Below are 21,248 nucleotides of genomic sequence, written 5' to 3' on the forward strand. Positions count from 1 at the left end.
CTGGGATTATAGGTGTGAGCCACCGCAACTGGCAGTCTGATTGTTTTGATTATTTCAGTTAAACAGGTAAATAAAGTTCTTAATCCATCTTGACCAGAAGGAAAATTCCCACCAGCTGTGGATTTAACAGAAACTCAGGCTATATTTGAACTAAATTGCTAAAGATCCACAGCTTCAGATACATAACAGCCCTTCTTCCACCAACCCTTCTTCCACCAAAACCAGATCTCAAAGAAAATCCCATAACCTTCACTATGTTTTGTGCTTTCATCACAGTGTACAGCCTCGCTCAGGGAGAGCGACCTCTTCTTGGGTGTGTTAGTTTCTGAGGGCTGCTGTCACAAATTTCCAGAAACAACAAAATTTCATTCTTTCACAGTTCTGAAGGCTAGAAGTCCAAAAGCATGGTGTCAATTTATAATTATCTGGAGGCAATTCCAATGTCTTCATTTTATTCTAACACACAGCACCCAGCATTGTACTTTGCTCCTCAAATAAGCTCTATAGTGTTTATATAATGTTTAATTTAATTGTAACAGCTAAAAGGCTTTTCTATGAAGGTGATTTCAGCCTCCAGTTTTCAATTTAGGAATTCCTAAAAAATAGCACCAGGTGTACAATTCTAACATGTCTGTAAGGAACACCTGACTAGGGAACAAACTATTTTTCCCACCTGTGTGGAAGTTACTGGAATGCTAAGCTGGAGAAATTTCACTACCTTGTAAGCCACAGAGAAAGAAAAAGTGGTCTGTAGAAACTATTAGTTAAAGCTAAGACAGAGTCAATCATAAAATGCATTCCTGACTTCAGAGATAATTGAAAAGTGAAAGATAGCAGATTCAGATTCAAACACATACAGTGTAGATACGTGCTTTGTTTCTGAGCAAATGGAGATGGCTATCTTGCAAGTGCCCTTTCACCCTGTCCAGAAAGTTTCCCCAACTTTCTACACTATGAGATTTGACCATCTTCTAACCTCCTCACCCCCAGACATCCAGCTATACTACATCTCACAGGTCCAACCTAGCTTGGCCAGTCTTATTTAAAATTTAAAACAGAAATACCGAGGCTGGGATTCTTTGTAGCGAAGTCACATTAATGGCAATTGTCTGACACATGGTGCTGGGGTGTCTCATAACTTTCCTTTAGACTACTCTTTCCAAAGGCTAAGGGGTTTAATCCTCCCTTGATTCCGCAAAATACCCCGACATCATTCCAGTAAATTCTTTTTTGTGGCTTAAGTCAGCCAGAGTTTATTTTTTGTGGCCTGAAACCCAGAGAACCTTAACTAACACAATGCCCTAAGAACATTTTCGGAAAGATATGCAAGAAATTAATCTTAATTATCTTTGAGAAATGAACTAGGTGTCCTAATGGTGTAGAAGGCAACTTCTGCTGTTACTTCATAACAACGTGTATGATTGGATGTTGTGTTGTTATGGTCTGGAGCAAAGGGTTGTCGTTGGAGCAAAGGGTTTCCAGTTTGGAGTTTAGTCTGATTTGGGGTGTTCATTTTTACACCGTGAGCATGTATTACTTGCATACATTTTTCAGCTAGGTTTAGTGTGTGTGTGTGTGTGTGTGTGTGTGTGTGTGTGTGTGTGCTTACTGTCATATTTGAAAAGGAATAACACGATGATAGCTTTCTGATTTTTCACAGCTCATGTTTGTCCCTATCCTGGTCCAGCCCCCTTATTTCACAGACACACAAACTGACCCTAGAGTAGATAGGACACAGCCAACTATTTTACAGCTACCGTGAGATCATTGCTTTAGACCAGCCTAGAATTGATCTTGTTGATAATGTTCTTGTCTTAAAAAATAATGATCTTATTTTTAAATGCAGTAGATACTAAATGATCAAACATCTTCCTGTGAAGTTGCCTTATGTGTTCTCCTTCTACATCATACTCCAAATTTACTCAGCTTGAAACTTTTGCTGGTTAATAATCTCCTACTTTGAAAAGAAGGTCAAGCTTAGATGGATTTGTTATTGATCACACTTGAATGTGAATTGTCTTAACTGGGTTAAATGTAGGCAGACACTTGGATAAAATCCCTCTCAGTGAATGAGTTGGGTGTTCTGATGGAACTGTGATAAATTTAGGCTATTGGACGTCACTTAGGAATACCGTTGTAGTTCTCTCCTTCATCTTTCCCCGCCACTACCACCTAAAAAGAAAAAAATTAATATGGTCAGAAAAATTATATCCCCTGGAAGGAAATTAGCACAAGTCAAGACAAATAGACTAAATTAGCCATTTGTGGAAATAGTCCATTCTGGGAGTTGACCTGCAAATGCCTTGTCGTTAGAGCAAAGGGTTTCCAGTTCAAAGAGGGCTCAGGAAAATTGGATGGCATGTTATAATTATAAAGCAGTAAACTCTGCAGTTGTATTTTACCTTGCTTAGGATGATGTCATGGTGCTTTAGCAACTGACTTTAAAATAAGAGAGTGTAAGAATGTATTATTGTTCATCCAGGACTGTCTTGAGAATCAGAGAACCACCCAGGATCACTCTGATTCTACATGAGGGATCTCAGTAATTTAAACAGGCAACAGGTGCTTCCTAGGCCACTAAACTTAGTGGAAATGGGGTCACAAAGAGAGAGAAAGGAGGGAGGGAGAAATGAGTGAAAGGATGGAAAAAGGAAGTGACAAATGAAAGGAGGGCAGAGCGGGGAAGAGTAACGGCAAAGAAATGAGGCAAAAAGGAAGGAAAAGCCCCTTCTCCAGAAACAAACGTAATTCTGCCCCTCAAAGTGTTAGACTGTTGGGGCAGAGTAATGATCCTCTCTTCTGGTATATTGTAATAATGTTTTTAACCAGTTTTCCTGATACAAATTTACATTATTTTGTAGTGTGAATCTAAATATGGAAGTTGTCAGCTCACTCCTGCTTAAAATTCACTAGTCCTCCACCTCCTTTAGGGCAATGTGGTTTTTCGGTTAAGTTTGCCTTTCCTATCTCAGAACTTCACCTCTCAGCCATGACCCTTCATAGTGCCCTGGAGTTTTGTTGATCTGTGCAGAATGCCTTGCTTTTTTATACCCTTGAGGCTTTTGGTATTCTATTCTCTCTAGGTAGAATGAAAAGTCTGCCTTTCAACCCCCTAACCATCACCCCTTTTGCCTTGCTGTCTCAACCAGTGAGACGCTCTTCAAACAATATTTCTTCTGTAGAGCCACGCATGCCTCTTCATAAGAGAATGATTCATTAAGATTCTATTGGCATATATCAAATAAACTGTGGTTGTCTCAGTGAATCCCTCTCTCTTTGTAAATATTGAGCTCCTAAGGAACAAGCACCTTCTCATGTTTACCAGCATGTATATATACCAGTCTCCCATGTATACTCATAAGTTTATCCTCAAAAGTACTTGAATTAATGAAGAAGGCAATAGAAACTATTTTCTAGAAAATGCACTCAAGTCTTGAAAGTGACATAAAAATTTCTTGGCGATTTTTAAATTATTTAGGGGTGACTGTTAAGTTGTAGAAAATGAATAGCAATGTGAATGATTCCTGCCCATAGCAATGCAAATGAATTACACAAATCCCTGCAAGTCAGATTTTCATTTGAACCAGTCAAGATCTTACTGGTCCCCATGGCCGGGCACGGTGGCTTAAGCCTATAATCCCAGCACCCTGGGAGGCTGAGGCGGGCAGATCACCTGAGGTCAGGAGTTCAAGACCAGCCTGGCCATAGTGAAACCCCCATCTCTACTAAAAATACAAAAAATTAGCCTGGCGTCGTGGTGCACCCCTGTAATCCCAGCTACTTGGGAGGATGAGGCAGGAGAATTCTTAACCTGGGAGGCAGAGGTTACAGTGAGCCAAGATCGTGCCATTGTACTCCAGCCTGGGCAACAAGAGCAAAACTCCTTCTCAAAAAAAAAAAAAAAAAAAAAAGATCTTACTGGTCCCCTCATTTATCTCATTTATTAATGAGTCAAATAAAATCTTTGACATGCATTCATTTCACATTTGGATGAGAGTCATGATTTTACTATTTTTGAAAATTATGCTTTAACACTGTAATAGAACATTTTTATTGAATATGTCTGTGCATAAACTACCAAATAGCATAGGTTGACTGTGTGTTAATAGAATATAGAGAATGTTTTCTATTAAACTTAACACAATAGCTGTAAGGCAATGTGGAAGTGAAATTAATGTATCTGTTAAAATCATAATACTAAATTAGAACACGAACAGAATAATGTAATAGGGCCCTTTAAAGCAAATGGTTGCCACGTTTACATACACACACTCACACATGCACACCCTACATATATATCTACAAATAAATATGTGCATATGTATATGTTAAAATGTAACTGATACATTGTAGTCAGTATGTTTTCCATAAAGTAATTATAAGTTTATAGGTTTCTCCATCACAAGTATGTATCACACTCTATTAAACATGTGGTCATGAGGGCACAGTGTTAACTCTATTGCTTAACTCTTTTAATCACTCTTACTCATCCTTGCCTGTTATTTGCTTTTCCATCATTTTCCTTAACTAAAGCCTATGTATCATCCCCCTGCCAGACATCCCCCTTCCACTTATTTGAGTGGAAATAGGAACTTTCCCAATGAAGGCAGCTGAACAGACGGCATTAAGCAAAAACGTTTCAAATCTAATGGCCCATTAGTCACACTCAACCGATGATCCATTGAAATGACTGACCAGGTAACTAGGTCAGCTAACTCAAGGGAAGCATTTACGATACAGCTCTCACTTTTCCAAACCCACGGACCACAGCTTCAGCCTCCATTCACAAAGACAGGATATGGACCCAGGAGCCATGTGGCTCATTACCTGTGTGGTGGGAGTTGCTCATAGACACAAGCATGCTTCAGAGGACTGGGAATACAACTTTCTCTAAGACTGAAGTTTAGATTATCTCTAACTCTAAGAGAAGGGCACTGCAAGGTCACCAGTCTAGCACTTTGGTGTTTTTTTTTTTAAAGCACTACATCATTTCTTAAGATACATATTACATATGATTAAAACTTTATCCTATTTTTCTCCCTCTCTTAGCTGGCATTCCTTGGGAGTGGAAAAAAAAATCAAAGGCATTCCCACACAAAGGTCCACATTGAAGTGTGTTTAAGTGTCTGATTAAAACTAACAAAAGACAGGAAATAGGGAGTTAGAATTTAACTCAGTCCTGAACTCACCCTCTTGTGCCTAGGTACCAAGGGGTCAGGAAAGAACCTCTAGGTTCAGAATTAGCTGCTTCTGTTTCCTTTCACTGCTGAGATATTATACTTCAAAAAAATATTAAATTGACAAGAAGCCCCCAAGTGCCTATAACCCCCACAGGGTGGTAATCTGTGCATATCTCTAGTTTTAAAAGGCATGATTCAACCTTACACCTCTTCAAAAGTACAAAAACATCTGTTACCTTTGGTAAATCCCCTTTCCTGTGTATCTGTTTTCTGGATGTACTGAGTTATTTCCCTTTCAAAAATATAAATGAATCAGAAAAAGAAAAGAGGCCAGAAGCAGGAAAAAAACAATGATTTCTTAGCAGATAGCAAGCAACAACTTATTTATTTCTGGTTTTCTCTGCTGAGGAAAGCACTAAATTCATATTCAAACTTAATTTTCTAATCTAGGATGACTTCCAGTACACCAGGTATGATTCTGACTCTTCCTGGTCATTTTTCAAATTCGTCCTATGGTAATAATTGCAACTGCCTCCAGCTTATTCGCAGGTGGAAAGTGCACCTCCTCTGCAAAGGTAGACTGCCTTTGGGACCTAGACCATCTTTGTCTAGAGTTCTCTCACAGCAGTGCTGGCATAGACACTACTCAGGTTTGCGTGTAAGTCTGCTGATTGGAACTGGGAATGCATTTGGTACTTTGCATGATGGTAAACCATAGTTAGCCTTCCGTGATCCACAGTATTGCTGAGGAAATTGGTGAGGGTTATTAAGACTCCAGGTACCACGAGTAGCAAAGGACATCCTTGGGGAGAAATACTCAGGGTTCTAACAACTCAGAGTCCGTGACACTCTTGTCCTTGGATGCCCTTCATCTCATGCCCCATGACTTGAGACAGATAGATGTTCTAGCAGATTCTCTCCAGATATGGAAAACTGCAGATGACTGGAAGTTCCTGCAAGTAAAAATCTCCCAGATGAATTTGCAGAGCAAGCCCGCACCTCCCACACAAAAGGACAAGAGAACTGATCCTCTTTTCTCATCACGTCTGTCAGTTTATATTCTTCAACCCCCACAAAGAAGTGAGCAAATCATCATTCTTCCTTTGACCAAGAAAAACAATGCCTTTCTTTACATCTACTAGTAGAAGCAACATTATGAAATAAAAATGAAAAACATCCAAGCAGTCACAATGTTTAAATAAGAATTGTTGGTGCACTGTCTCCATCAGTTGAGTAAAAGTTTAAAATTGTTTCCTGCTTGCCGGTTCACACCTCTCACCCTCTTCTTTCCACATGCAAACACGCATTTTTCATTTTCACTTAAATCTTATAAGAGGGAAACTCAGGCATTGAGAAGACTGTTCGGTGTAAGTGCCTCGAATAAATAACTCAGTACTTTCAGAGAATAATAAAGCCTATAAAAAAAGAAATAGTTAAAAGTGTCATGTAATTTTGCATCCCAGCTGGTTAAGTTTTGAGAGTGACAGGGGTGAGAACAAATGCTAAACCTGACTGGGCACCAGGACAAGAGCCTCCATCTGGGACTCTCCCAGACAAACCTGAAGTTGGGAGGTCTGTCTCCAGGTAAAGTGATAAAAATTTCTGGAGTGACTTTCAGAAATTTGTACTTAGAGAGGCAGTGGGAGACAGAGGATTGAACCCAATCATGCCTGGCTGAAGTGAGCTTTGGAAAGAGCCACACAAAATTCAAATGCAGGCTGGATTTGTGGGGCCAGAGGAAATAGGTAGATATTTAGTTTATTACACTAGATATTTGAGAGGTAATAGAGGTTTATACTGGCTGGTACCAATAGGATGAATGTGAGGGATTATTGATGTGAAATGAATAGATCTCAAAACCTCATGTCTATAAACAGGGTGAATCAGAGGTGATTTTTCTGAGTAACTGAGTGATGTCTTTAGCAGTACTTTGGGAAAAACTAAGGCCAAAAGGTTGAGTAATATACATGATTTTGCCAACTAATAATGTGACCTCTAGATCTACTTTTTAGTAAAAAGATGCCTCTATTTCAGTGTGATAAGGGCCATGAAGGGGACATGAACAAGAAACTCTGAGGTCCTAAGAACTGATTCTACTTTTGCCAGGTGTGGTAACACCCTGGACTACAATCTAAAGATGGACCCTGCTCGCTCAATCTCTAGTTTAATTACCTTTGGTGAGTAATTGCCCTTTTCTGAGCCTCAGTTATAGATTTGAAGCTCTCATATAGGTATGTTCCTTCATTGCTCTGTACTTTGGAATATGCAGCTCTCTCTAGCAGAATGCCCTTTTCCATCTTGTCTACCCGAGAAGCCCTTTGTCATACCGAAAGTTACCACCTCTGTGAGACTTTCTCTGAAAAATCATCCTCTGGAAACGTAGCCTACCAATCATCTGTCTGTTGATTTCTTGCGGCAGATACAACTTCCTCCTTCCCAGACACCTTCCAGGCATATAGCATGGCTTAGCCCAATGACACATAATCAGAAATCTTTTGAAATGGGGATTCAAGAAGACCTTTTACTTCTCTGGTTAAAAGGAACAGCCATCACATTCTTTTCCCATTTTTCCTTGTTTCTTCAAACCACCTTGAACACCATTATAATTTTGGAGATAAATCAGCCATCTGGCAACCATGTTGCTACCAATGACAGAATGAAATCCAGCAAACTAAGTTGTGGAAGATATGATCAGTAGACTCATTTATGTCATGTTGAAGCACTGAACCAGCCCTGTACCTAATTTTATTCTTCCTATTATAAAGACAAATAAGTCCCTGCTTTCCAACCCCTGTGAGCAAGTCTTTTCTTAAAACTAAAAGCATACATAATTGACACACTATCAGTTAGCTATTGCTGAGTAACAACCCCCAAATCTGCAGGTCACCTAGGTAGCCCTTCTGATCTGGTCCATGTTTCTGTTGAGCTGTCCAAACATCTGGAGGCCACATTGCCAGTCTGGCTAGACTAGGAAGGCTTCAACTGGGACAGCTGATCTCTACTCCATGTTCTCTGTCATCTCCCACCTGGCTAGCCCAGGCTTTCGCACATGGGAGCAGAAGAGTTTAAAGAGAATGTGGAGCATGCAAGCCTCCACCATCACATCTACCATGTTATTGGCCAAAACAAGTAACTAGGCCAGCCAGATGCAAGGGGAGCCATGGAGTATTGAAGGCATGACTGCTTGCACTCAATCTGTCAAACAATTGTAAAGTGTGAGAGTTTGAGAACAAGGATTGTGAGATATTTGTAACTCCTATATAGTAAGCCTTCCCTCACCTTATTTTTAGCCAAATGTTTGCTCTGCTTAATTTACAGGGCTATTGTTAGAACCCTTTATTTCTGAGTTCACAGTAGATCAAGTAGGAGGCCTTTAGAGATGCAAGGAATCAGATTACCACATACTCAATTACTGCTGGTATAATTAGATTTTTGAATGCATACTTGCAGAGCAAAGTTTTCATCCATCTCCAGGGACTTTGGAAGAAGACAAAAAGGAAACCAATACATAGAAGAGCTTTAGCTCCTGGCTGAATTTGAAAGTGGAGTTAACACAGAGTGATTCTTATCCTTGCCATCCAGTTATGATTACTTGTTACCAGTGGATAGCATGTTGTACTTCAATCACCTACTTGAGGTAATACTTATTTTTTTCCTGGGAGCAAACTCTCCCACCTGGTCTACATAGGATCTTTCACGACCACTTTCAGCAAACCATCCTCATTGTTCCCCAGAATAAAGGATAAAGAAGCTTAGAAAACTTGTGAGATCATGTCTTCTAAAGGAAAATTTTTGACCTTGAACAAGTTGGAAGTAGAGAACAGTGCGTCCACCAACTGGGAAATAATCAATGAACATCCTACCCCTAATATATGATGCATCAGAGACTGGCTAAATTCTCACCAGTTTCTTGGCACACAGCCAAAGTACATTCCCCTGACATTCTGCATCTGGGTGGGGACATATGACTGTTTTTTGCCAATGGAATGTGAATGGAAGACATACCTTTTGGTATAATGCAGGGGTCTGCAAACTATAGCCTACAGGGCAAATGTGGCCAATCACCTGTCTTTGTAAATAAAGTTTCATTGGAACATAGCCACCCTACTCATTTACATATTGTCTAAGGCTCCTTTCACACTATATCAGCAGAACTGTGTAGTTTTTAACAGAGATTGGGTGGCTCTCAGAGCCTGAGATATGTACTATTCTTTACGGAAAAAATTAGCTGACTCTTGGTTTAAGGCATGTTAAAGTGAGGTCCTGTTTCATTTGCTCCTCATCTGCTATCTGGAAGATGTCAGGCCAGTTTTTGAAGCACGACTGGATCTTGCAGAGCCCCATTATGAAAATAATTTTATCTCTGAATGGATGCACAAAGCAGAGGCTCCTGTCCAAACAACAGACCCATCCCCATTTTCTTGGAATTCACATTGGAACATGATACAAGCAAAAAAATAAAACTTTATTGTGTTGAGGTACTGAGACCTGGGGACTGTGTGTCATAGCAGCAAACACTACTTTCCTTGACTAATATAAATGAACAGAGTACAATGCTCTACACAAATATGATATTTAAAAATTGAGTAATTGCAGCACGGAAAAACAAAGGCATTGGTCTAAGACCTATAGCAAAGCTTGGAAGAGACAAGAGTGGTTATCATTTCCCCCAGCATTGTGATGAATTGGCAGAGAATTACTGCAGACCAATTCTAGCACCAACCTTAAGGTCCTTCCCATGTGATATGACTCAAGGAAAATTGAAGATTCCAGCCGAAAAGAATATCTGCTTGCTGGCTTGTCACTGATACCTGCCTAATTGTTTTTTATTATTAAAGGCTGCCTTGTTGTTGAAATGTGAACACCCCAGAAAATCATTAGCTACTCAGTATTAGAAAGGATCTCATTATACTCTTTTTAAAGGAGAACCAGATAAATAAGCCAGAAATGTATTTTTATTCTCTCAAGACAGTTAAAGTCCTAGACACCTGGAAGAGAGGGCTATAAAAAGAGATAGGAACTTCTTGCAAAAATAGATGGCTGTCTAACTTTGCCCCCTTCATTGGTATAAGGCATGACTCAGGAACCTGGCAATCGTCTTGAACTCAGAGGCCAAGATGTTTTCCTAACTACAGTGCCCTATATTCCTTACCTGCTTTGTCACTTCCTCTTCAACATGAGTCACTTCCTCTGAGAACTCTTCAGATCCATTTCAGATGATTTCTTCTTTCGTCTTTCACAACCCCTGCAATTAATAAATGCCTTAGGAAAGCACTTATTATACTACATGGCAAGTGTAATTTTACACATCTGTCTCTCCTACCAGACTTCAGTGCAGGGCCATTTCCTGGCATAATTTCTGGAATATAGAATATATCCAATAAATATTTGTTGAGTTAAAGGTAAACTGTTCTCTAGACAAACGGGCCCCCAGATCTGGTTAAGATTTAAAATTTCTTGAGGAATACATAAATATGGACTCCCAGACCTACTGAGTCAGAATCTATAATTTAGACCATGAAACTGTTACTTTTCACAAAGTGATGGTGGAGCATTGAGTTTTACTCTCCAAGAATCTAATCAAGCATTAGTCTTTTTCTTTGGTGGTTGGTACTTGCAAAGCCTCACACATACCATGAAAACAAGGTGGAGAATACATTCATTTATGTATTTAGTCATAGTTATTGAGTGTTCCTTTTGTGTCAAGCACTCCTCTGGGCTTTGGAAGTAGAGTAATGAATAAAATAGACAAGAATCCCTGCCCACATGAAATTTATATTCCAGAAAGTTAAGCAAGACAAATTAAGTGCAGATTATGTTTGTAATAAGTGCTGAAGAAAAAATTAAGCTAGGAAAGGATCAGAAAATGTGAGAGAGGGTCCAATTTTAAGTTAAGCAGCCAGGGAAGGCCACAGTAAGAAGGTGACATTGATTCAAGATCTGAAGGATATGAGAGTGAGAATCATATTTGGGGGAGGAGCATTCAAAGATAAAGAACAAGTAAATAGATCCTAAGAGAGGAGCACCCCTGGAACATCTGAGAAGGAGTCAGGAGAACAGGAGTGAGTAAGAGAGGGTCAGTGATAGGAAATAGGATCCCAAAGTATAGAAGAGGTCACATCACACAGGACTGCGTAGGCCACTGTAATGTCTTTGCACTTCCTCAATGTGAGACGAAAAGCCTTTAAAGGGTTCTGGGCCAAGACTTGACAAGGTCCAATTTACCTATTAACAGCATTTCTATTGCTGCTGTGCCTAAATTAAAGTGTGGACAGGGGCTGATGCAGGGGAATCTATTAGAAAACTTTTGTCCTAATTCATGTAAGTGATGATAGTGGATCAGACCAGGGTGTACCAATGGAGGTGGTGAGAAGTTTTCGGATTCTGAATACACTGTATTTTAAAGGTAATTCCAACAGGTTTTGCTTGTAGCTCAGGTGTAGAATAAGAAAGAGGAGAATCAAAGACAACTCCAAAGCTTGGGGGCTGAGCAAATAAAAGGATGGTATTTTCATGTATCCAGATGGAGGAGATAGGAAATTGAGTGGCTAGGGGATGGATGTAGAAGCTCAATTGTGTTAATTTGAAACACCCAATTGGAGACCTAAATGAGGATAGAAGTCATCAGTAACCTACGTGTTTCTTCCTCACTGATCTTCTCTGGCTTTGACCTCCAATGCCCTAATTCAAATATCTACTTTCTAAGCAAAGGCATAATTGCATATGTTGGTAAAATTACTTTTCGAAACCATAAAGCACTATCAAATGAACATTATTATTATTTATACATGGAAATACCAGGATGATGCCATAAACCCCAAGAAGTGCCTTTCATTTGGTATTTTAACAATCAGGCTCTAAGAAACTTGAGTCCACAGTACCTCAGGGTTTTGGGGCCAGAGGAATAAAGACTGGATTTTTGCAAGCAAATATAGTGCCCTTTATGGAAACCTTCACAGTTTGCTAAACTTTTGGAAAATGAAACACCCATCATTAAACTGTAACCTAAGGGGACATGAAGAAACAACTAACCATGCACACCCACCTCTTCTCTCCCGGGAAGTAAAAGCATTATGCGCAACTAAAGGAACTACAAGTTCAATTGAGAATATGTAAAAACCCATGGGTTTCCTTTTTAAAGAAACCAGAGTCCATACTTGCAATCCATCTCCCACTTCCATCCCATCTCGCAACCACCAGCTCTGCCCTCATTCCCACTCGTCAAATCTTGGTAGAAACAGCTGTCACCACAAAAGTCATACTGGGCCAGGACAGACAGCTGGCTCTGTGATTCACAAACAAATTAACCTTGGGATTTTATTTTGAGCAAAGGGGCTTCCTATCCTATGTCCTTCATGGCCATCCATTTTTTGCCCTTGGGTAAACACACACCAACTCAAATGTCACACATGGGGCTGAAGGACATTTGGGGTTTTCAGGGTCACTACCCACTATTGCTTTTAAAAAATATTTCCTCTTAATCAAAGGCCTTTATCTCTTGACAAAGTTTCCAGTGAAAAAGTGTACCTAGTTTAAGTAGCCAACTCATGCCTGGGGTTTAGCTTCTCAAAGAGGGAGGGGTGTGAACATCGTTGTTCCATTAACAATTTAAGGATCAGCTCTCAAAGTGTAGTCATAAGGCGTAGAATTAACAGATGACATAATGTGATATTTAAAAGTTTTAAGAAACCAGCAAATACATGTCTTGCAGCACAGCACCATCTACTGACCAGACAGAGAAAGAATATGGGGGTGGGGGAAGAAGGTAGAGAGAAAGGATGAGAAGGGCTGAGAAGGCTGGGGGGAAGAGGAAAGTGAAAAGAGGGGAAGAGGAAAGTGAAAAGAGGGGAAGAGGAAAGTGAAAAGAGGGGAAGAGGAAAGTGAAAAGAGGGGAAGAGGAAAGTGAAAAGAAGGGAAGAGGAAAAGAAAGAAAAAACAGGACTTCAGATTTCCGTTAATGCAATTCCACATTCCACAGATAAAGAAACAGAGCCCAGAAAGTTTAGCTGAATTCGCCAAGGATACAAAAGGCTCTCAGGTCTCCTATTTATAAGGAAAATTATTTTCACATTTTTGAGGTTTAAAAAAGAGCTATCCTGCTGTAGAATTTGAGAAATTAATCATCATATATCAAAGGAACTGATTAGAGAGTGCAGATATAGACCCATACGTTGAGTCTGTTATTTTTCTACCTTTGTACAAAGGCAATTCAATAGGGAAATGATAATCTTTACAACAAACTTTGTTGAAACAATTTTGCAAAAACTATGTAACCTCAACTCATAGTTCACATCTTGTGTGAAATTTTTATACACCTTGTATAAAAATTCAATATGTATTATAAACCCAAGTAAAAACTATAGAACCTTAGCCGGGCACGGAAACCATCATTCTCAGCAAACTAACACAAGAACAGGAAACCAAACACTTCATGTTCTCACTCATAAGTAGGGGCTGAACAATGAGAACTCATGAACACAGGGCGGGAAACATCACACACTGGGGCCTGTCGGGGGGTGGCGGGTTAGGGGAGGGAGAGCATTAAGAGAAATACCTAATGTACATGACGGGTTGATGGGTGAAGCAAACCACCATCATACGTGTATACCTGTGTAACAAACCTGCACATTCTTCACATGTATCCCAGAACTTAAAGTATAATAAAAAAAAATGGCACAACCACTTTACAAAAGTCTGACAATTTCTTTATATAGCTAAATATACATTTACTATATGACACAGCAATCCTACTTCTAGGTATTTACGCAAAAGTGAGGAAAATTTATGTTTTTAAAAAAACTCTGGGCCAACTGTGGTGGCTCACACTTGTAACCCCAGCACTTTGAGAGGCTGAGGCAGGAGGATTTGAGCCCAAGAGTTTGAGACCAGCCTGGGAAACATAGCAAGACCCCATCTGTACAAAAAATTAAGAAATAGAAAGTGGTGGTGTGCACCAGTAGTCCCAGCTACTTGGGGCACTGAGATTGGAGGATCACTTGAGCCCAGAAGGCCAAGGCTGCAGTGAGCTGTAATCGTACCACTGCACTTCAGCCTGAGCAACAGAGAGAAACCCTGTCTCAAGAAACAAAACAGAACAATATAAAATTGTGTATGAGCATTTATAATTCCTTTAGGTGTGATCACAGAAAAAATTCTCAGAGCTGTACAACAGAAAGAGTAAATTTTGCTGTATGTAGATGATATCAAAAAAAATGTTTAAAATGGTCTGTAGTCCGGAATACATTTTTCAAAAGCATGGAATTAAAAGTATATTCTACCCTCATACACTATTTGTTTATATAAGTGAATTTGTTCTAAAAAAAAAAAAGGAAATATAGAAAATAAAATGAATAGTGACTCCTGCCTCAAATATCCTATATTTTTAAATAATGGAAACTTAATTGGTAAGTTTTTAGTCCAATATGAATAGTTGGTTACATTATGAATATTTTAAGAATCAAAATTTGTTATACAGAGTAAGGCTAGGCACAGTGGCTCATGCCTATAATCTCACCACTTTAAGAAACCAAGACAGGAGATTCGCTTGAGGCCAGGAGTTTGAGACCAGCCTCGGGAACAAAGTGAGACCCCATCTCTACAAAAAATACAATTTTTCCAGCCCTGGTGGCTGATGTTTGTAGTCCCAGCTGCTGCTTGGGATGCTGAAGCAGGAGGATTGCCAGAGCCCAGTAGTTCAAGGCTGTAGGAAGCTATGACCATTCTACTGCACTGTAGGCTATCTGACAGAGCAAGATCCTGTCTCAAAAAATATGGACAGTGGATTGGGCGTACATTTGTTGCAATCTTTGAAGATGCTTTTAACATGAATTTTTATCCATATGAAATGCCTCTAAAAATTTTTTCTGGTAGCTCACCTAATACAAATAAGTGAATATACAGTTCTGAGTGCTGTCTCTTTCTTTTCCAGCTTAAAATTTACATTCCTATCAACCTTCATGGAGCCATACATTTGTTCCTACAACCTACATGACATCTCTGCTCCAAAGAGTTCAAATGTTGCCCCATATATGCAGAACATTTATTGACTTGAATTTATGATGCCAGGAGTGATAGTAAATCAGCGAGAAGTGGGAGAAAAACTGTTAAGAACCCTCACAACAATGAAAGCCAGTTTGCCACATTAATATTTATCTAATCAGTGGTTTCCTTGCTGCTTCCCAAGGTCTCTAGTCCACTATTAAAATTTGCCTATTTAACAATTATTTTCTATATGTCTGTTATGTAAGGTATTGTGCTAAAAATAAACTCAGGTTATTGTGGTGAATCGAAAGACAAAGGAACTATCCTAAAACAGCTCACCATCCTAGGGAGGATATATAGATACATAAAGTCAGAAATTATGGCACAATAGTATCAGAATGATGATGGGAAGCTTCAGGAGCACAAGAGAGGAAGGCAGGGTCACCAAAGGGAGGGGTATAGAGCATGGTCAGTAAGAAAAAACAATTATGAGGGCATAAGCATTAACCTGGTTTATGTCCACTAACCATCCATTCACCAGGTTGATTGAGGAAAATGGGCAGTAAGAGAAGAAAATATGAGCAAAGCCCTAAAGGCTTAGAAGTCTTTGGCTTTCTGTAATCTTGTAATTAAAGCTTCGCCACATGATGAAGATTATGCTTGGAAAATATAAAAATTCAGTAAAACTTTTTAAAAATTCAAAGCTTGATTTAATTGATCTGTAGCTATCCATTTGAAGTAATCCATTTGGTGTTAAGTGAAAACAGAGAGGCCAAACTTTATCTAGAGAAAATGCTATCCCTAAATGACATAATTACTTGGTCTTTAATTGGGGAAAATACTTTGGTATTAGAGTGACATTCAAGAAAACTGAATTTTCAGAGAATGTCGTCAGTAGGGTAAAAAGTAAAGTGTGTTAGTCTTCATAACCTTTCTAGTTCTGACATTGTACATTTGAAGGTAGAATCTGACCAGACTGATTTCTGATAGATGTTGTTTTAGAAATAGATAGTTACTCTTACTTTTTATGAATTTCCTGCAACAGAAATATCTTGAACATTTAGTCATGCCATTTCTTTGCATCGAAGTTCATCATTGGTAGAAAAAATATCCATTCATTCAGCAAGTCTTTATTTACTGCCTACAATGTGCTGCAATTCAAAATCCTCATTCGTATTATGTACTTGAGTAATAACTCTCATCAGTCATATAAAGTCTTAAGATGTACACAAAATTTCTTAACCAGTAGCTTAATTGCTTAGGTAAGCTCTCCCTCAGACCTCAAAAGCTGTAATGAAATGAGAACTAAAATGTTGCAAAGCTAGCCATATTTTTGATCTGTGCCATTTTTAAGATGGTGTTTCAATAAATATTATTCTTTTACCATGCCATAAATTCACCTCTCTATAACTTTAATAGCCTAGTCATAATTTTATCGTTCTCAATTTTAGTGAATTTGTATGTCTTCAACCATCAGTATTTGCCCTTCCAAAATATTTATAATAAGTAATTCAGAAATAGATTCTTCACACCTACAATGATCTGGTCTTCAACAAATTCGACAAAAATAAACAATGGGGAAAAGGCACATCAACAAGAAAAAAGAATCCCATTAAAAAGTGAGTTAATGCCACGAATAGACACTTCTCAAAAGAAGACATGCAAGTGGTCAAGAAACATGAAAAAAATGTTCACCATCACTAATCATCGGAAGGATGAAAATCAAAACCACTATGGGATACCACCTCAAAACAATCAGAATGGCTATTATCAAAAAGTCAAAAAATAACAGATGTTGGCAAGGTTGCAGAGAAAAGAGAATGCTTATATACTTTGGTGGAAATGCAAATTAGTTTATCCACTGTGGAAAGCAGCTTGGAGATTTCTGAAAGAATGAAAAATAGAATTGCTACTTGACCTAGCAATCTCATTACTGGGTACACACTCAAAAGAAAATAAATTCTTCTACCAAAAAGGCACCTACACTTGTATGTTCATCACATCTCTATTCACCATAGCAAAGACATGGAATCACCCGAGATGCCCATCAGTGGTGGATTGGACAAAGAAAATGTGTGGTACATATACGCCATGGAATACTACACAGCCATAAAAAAGAACAAAATCATGTCCTTTGCACCAACATGGATGCAGCTGGAGGCCGTTATCCTAAGTGAATTAACACAGAAACAGAAAACCAAATACTGCAAGTTCTCACTTTTAAGTGGGTGCTAAATATTGTGCACACAGAGATACAAAGATGAGAACAATAAACACGGGAGATTCCAAAAGGGAGGAGGGAAAAAGGGGAGAAAAGAATTGAAATACTACCTACTGGGTACTATGTTTACTGTTTGGGCAATTCTTCTACAGCTATTTAGCTAGAAACAATTTCTTCAGGTCCTCGTTTCTCCTCTGCAGTAATGCAGCATGGGGCTGTGTGAGATATCCTTTCATGTGGATAATGTATTGCTTTGGGCAGAAGAAAGCACTCCTACAATAAATCCTCTACGTGAGCTGCTCCATAAGGAACTTGAAAAACTGGGCAAAACAATGCAAGAAGCAAGCATGAAACTTGAGGTTGTTATCACTGCCAACACACAAAGTTAAATACATGCAACTATTACCAAGTATGTCTGCCCAAGCTAGTCAATGGACCAACTTCTCACTCACTGTATTTTATATTTATAAGCCAAGAGAGAAACACAACAAAAAAAAATCTCACCCTTATGTTTAGAAGGCAAGAACAGAGGACAAGAAAAAGGTAAATTTTGACTAATATTCGCTATTTATTTTGGGTAGTTATTGTTAACTCTTAGAAGTTAAATCAAAAGAAATGTGGGATTCCACCTGTCTTGGGCAGGGCTAGGGAATGTTCACTCTCATTTTCATTATATCCTCTTTGAAGCTACATTCGCCATGTCCTCAATTTTCATTACATATATGTCATGCACTTCCAAAACTGAACCTCATAGTGGCCAGAGAAGCAGCATGTTGAGAGAGACTCACTGATGGGCAATTGCTTCATTACCTCCTACCCACTTGATAACTACAGAGATTTTGTTCAAGTCCACTCTGTGAATTTCACACTTACAGATTCGTAGCCAACTTAATTCAGTGCTAATGCCCTCTATAAATCTGCTTGGAAATCTTGACTAGTCCTGAACCTACATATCATAGTCCTTAAGTCCCACTAGGACTAAGAACTTGACGTACAGAATGAAATGCATTCCTCATCTGCAACTCCTGCCCTCAATCCCACATCTACAATAGTCTCCATCGACCCCATGTTGTTTCTTAGAAAACTGGGTAGAGGATAGTACCTGCTACAGGGAAGATGGCTGAGCTCCATTCAGAGGCTCTTGTCATGTCTGTATGCCCATCCACAAGCTTTAGTGGACTTTGTTTCACATGGCTTGCACCTGTGACTCCATTCAGAAGACTGATCTTGGGCAACTGGAGCCACTTTGCTGCCCAGGGAGTCAGAAGTACCTGGGAATTTACAGGCTTCAAGGATGACCAACAATTCCAGTTTGCTTAAGACTAAAAGATATCTCAAGATAATTTAGTGTGAAAGCAGGATGGTGCCAGGCAAACCAGGACAGCTGGTCACCCAGTGCACCCCCCACACCAAACTCCAAAAATGGACAGCCCTTACCCTCAAATGGGAACGAACTTTTGGGTAAAACTATACCGCAGAGCTCCTTGCAGGACCCAGCTGAGGCTGGGCATTTCCTTTGCTTGTCATCTTCCATTCTGTGTCTGGTTTCCTCCCTCTCACCTCCCCATGTCTGCTGGAAGTACTTCCTTCATGAGTCTTAGGCACCCATTCTCATCACAGGGGAACATTTCTGGGGATCCCCACTGAGGACACCTGCCTCTCTATGAATGTTAGAAAATTGCATGATGTATCTACCACTGAAATCCATAAGGCAGTCACAAATTTCACTTCAGCCAAATTTTTGAGCCTCCTCTCCTGAAACAAAACTGATAATGGAAATATTGGCAAGTAGAAAAATCCCTCATCTTGTTAATTGTTTTTGTGTTGTTTCCATAGCCTCAGGTCAACCTAGCTGTGGCAGTGATGGCAGCAGAGGGTGAAAGCAGTACTGATGGGCCAAGAAAAAGTAAAAGGAGGAAAACAGAATTTAAATAATAAACCCAAGTGATCAAGACGTGATTATTTCTTCTACAGTGGGGCTTAAAGGCTATTTTTCCTGAAATAAGACTAAAATCTAGAGTACATTTTTAAAAAATAATTTGCTCTACTACGATATGTAGTAATGTATTGATATTATTTATATAGACTTTAAAATATGTTTAGAAACTGTAACTCTGTAAAATATTAACCTGAACTGGAATGGCCCTCTTTAAAAAATATATAATTTTTTTTAAACTCTCCTTCACTGACTTGCTCTTTCAATGAACCACTGAGGTCACTATATGATGAGGAGCAATTTGCAATAATTTACCAAAATAATAATAAGGTAGCTCTATATCCTGTGTGTTTGATTTTTTTAAAAAGGAGTTTCCCTTTCAGGACCCCATGAATGTACAAGGTTCAAACAAAGTGCGGGGAGCTAATGAACAGACTGTGTTTTCCTGTGCCGGGCCCCTGTACAGAATGACTTCATTCAGGGCTACGGCTCGCGCATGGAAAGTGCTGGTAAAAAATCCCACAGAGTTCAGACGACCTTTTCCTAACTTTCGTTTTTTTTTCCCTTGTTTGCCTTTCGGGCCTAAGCCAGGGAAAACATAAATATTCATCAGCTGATATTTGCAGTAGCTGTGAAGTTATGAATGAGGCCATGCGGCTTTCCTCCTATCCCATCTACAGAATGGCAGCTTCTCCACTCAGCTCCCAGCCAAACGACACTTTCCGAAATCCCCAAAGTGTACTAGAAGGCTTTTCAAATTCAGTCTTTTTTTTTCCTTTAATGCTCAAAGCAGAAATGCTGTCTGCTTAATGTTTACCCTAGGATTATAGAAGAAGAAAAAGAAAAACATTGCTTTGCCAAGCTTTAAACTTTCAGATGCCTTGACGTAACAGGCAAATATGCTAGCAGCTCAAAATATTGGTAGTATATATCAATGGATATGATGGGGTCAGGGATTTTTAATATCAAACACTAGACAGATACCTGAGGCATTTATTGTGTGAAGGGCAGAGAAAAAAACCATCGATTTGACCTGGTTCTACTGCTTTGTTAGCATCTGGACAGGTGTTAGAGAGAGATGCTGGAAAACAGTTTTGAATAAGATTTCAAATAGGTCCTCAATGATGAGATATAAAAAGAATGAAAATTGTGCCTGCCATAAGGTCTGGGATGGAGCTGGTCTTTCTGTCGTCCAGATTCCTCACAAATTAATGCTTTAAAATCTGGAATCTTTTCATCTTCCAGGGTCTGTCACTCAAATAAAACTTTAGTAGAAGGTGAATTGTGAATGGAAGAGACCGTAGGGTAACAAACAGCAAATAGCCATCAGTGTCTAGGAACAAACAAAACCTGTTCTGGGCTCAGCATAACCATATGTCTTTGAGCTTCCTGGATCTGGTCCCCGTAACACAGAGGTCTGAAGAGTCACCTTCAGAAACAGGAGGCATCTTTGAAAGTGGTGGTAAAGACTTTGTCAACAACACTTCTGAAAATTGCATTGTGCCAAGAGGCAACAAGTGATGAGTAACAGTGATAATGCAATTGTGGAACAAATTGATTCAAATAGTACTACAGCCCCCTCTCAAGCATTCATTTCTACAGATGACTGCTAGACTGTTTGGTGAATCCAAAAGTAACCAGGATTGTGGCACAACTTTTGATACAAGAAAAAGGTTTGTGATTCTAATAGAAAATGACTTTTAAATAATATTTTAAAAATGTATGATTTTGAAATAAAAAATGGAACAGCAAAAACGTCAACAGCACAACAGCTAATCAATCAATCCCCAATGATTAGTGAATGTAAAGAGTGAGACATGTTTTTATAGATAAAGAATGTATGTATCAATGTCCAATATTCTCCTTTTGACTTTCCTCATCAGTATGTTTTATTCAAAGCTCAATATTTGGTCTCTCCTTGTCTCTGTAG

The 21,248-nt window shown here is 39.1% G+C and overlaps 1 pseudogene, besides 4 other annotated features; it reads left to right on the forward strand.

Annotated features, from left to right (window-relative positions):
- Window positions 4,353–4,854: an enhancer, noted in NCBI's record as "NANOG hESC enhancer chr20:7831618-7832119 (GRCh37/hg19 assembly coordinates)". NCBI's record gives its function as "activates a minimal SCP1, AML or CMV promoter by ChIP-STARR-seq in naive H9 embryonic stem cells {active_cell/tissue: H9 hESC(naive)}" and the evidence as "EXISTENCE:reporter gene assay evidence [ECO:0000049][PMID:30033119]".
- Window positions 4,855–5,355: an enhancer, noted in NCBI's record as "NANOG hESC enhancer chr20:7832120-7832620 (GRCh37/hg19 assembly coordinates)". NCBI's record gives its function as "activates a minimal SCP1, AML or CMV promoter by ChIP-STARR-seq in naive H9 embryonic stem cells {active_cell/tissue: H9 hESC(naive)}" and the evidence as "EXISTENCE:reporter gene assay evidence [ECO:0000049][PMID:30033119]".
- Window positions 9,785–10,984: an enhancer, noted in NCBI's record as "MED14-independent group 3 enhancer chr20:7837050-7838249 (GRCh37/hg19 assembly coordinates)". NCBI's record gives its function as "activates an origin of replication core promoter dependent on BRD2, BRD4, P300/CBP and CDK7 cofactors, and independent of MED14, by STARR-seq in HCT116 cells {active_cell/tissue: HCT116}" and the evidence as "EXISTENCE:reporter gene assay evidence [ECO:0000049][PMID:35650434]".
- Window positions 10,211–10,411: a silencer, noted in NCBI's record as "peak4140 fragment used in MPRA reporter construct". NCBI's record gives its function as "represses an SCP1 promoter by STARR-seq MPRAs in K562 erythroleukemia cells {active_cell/tissue: K562}" and the evidence as "EXISTENCE:reporter gene assay evidence [ECO:0000049][PMID:32103011]".
- HSPBAP1P1 (HSPBAP1 pseudogene 1) lies at window positions 20,711–20,998 on the forward strand (annotated as a pseudogene).

Source organism: Homo sapiens, chromosome 20 (genome assembly GCF_000001405.40).
Source record: "Homo sapiens chromosome 20, GRCh38.p14 Primary Assembly".
NCBI lineage: Eukaryota > Metazoa > Chordata > Mammalia > Primates > Hominidae > Homo > Homo sapiens.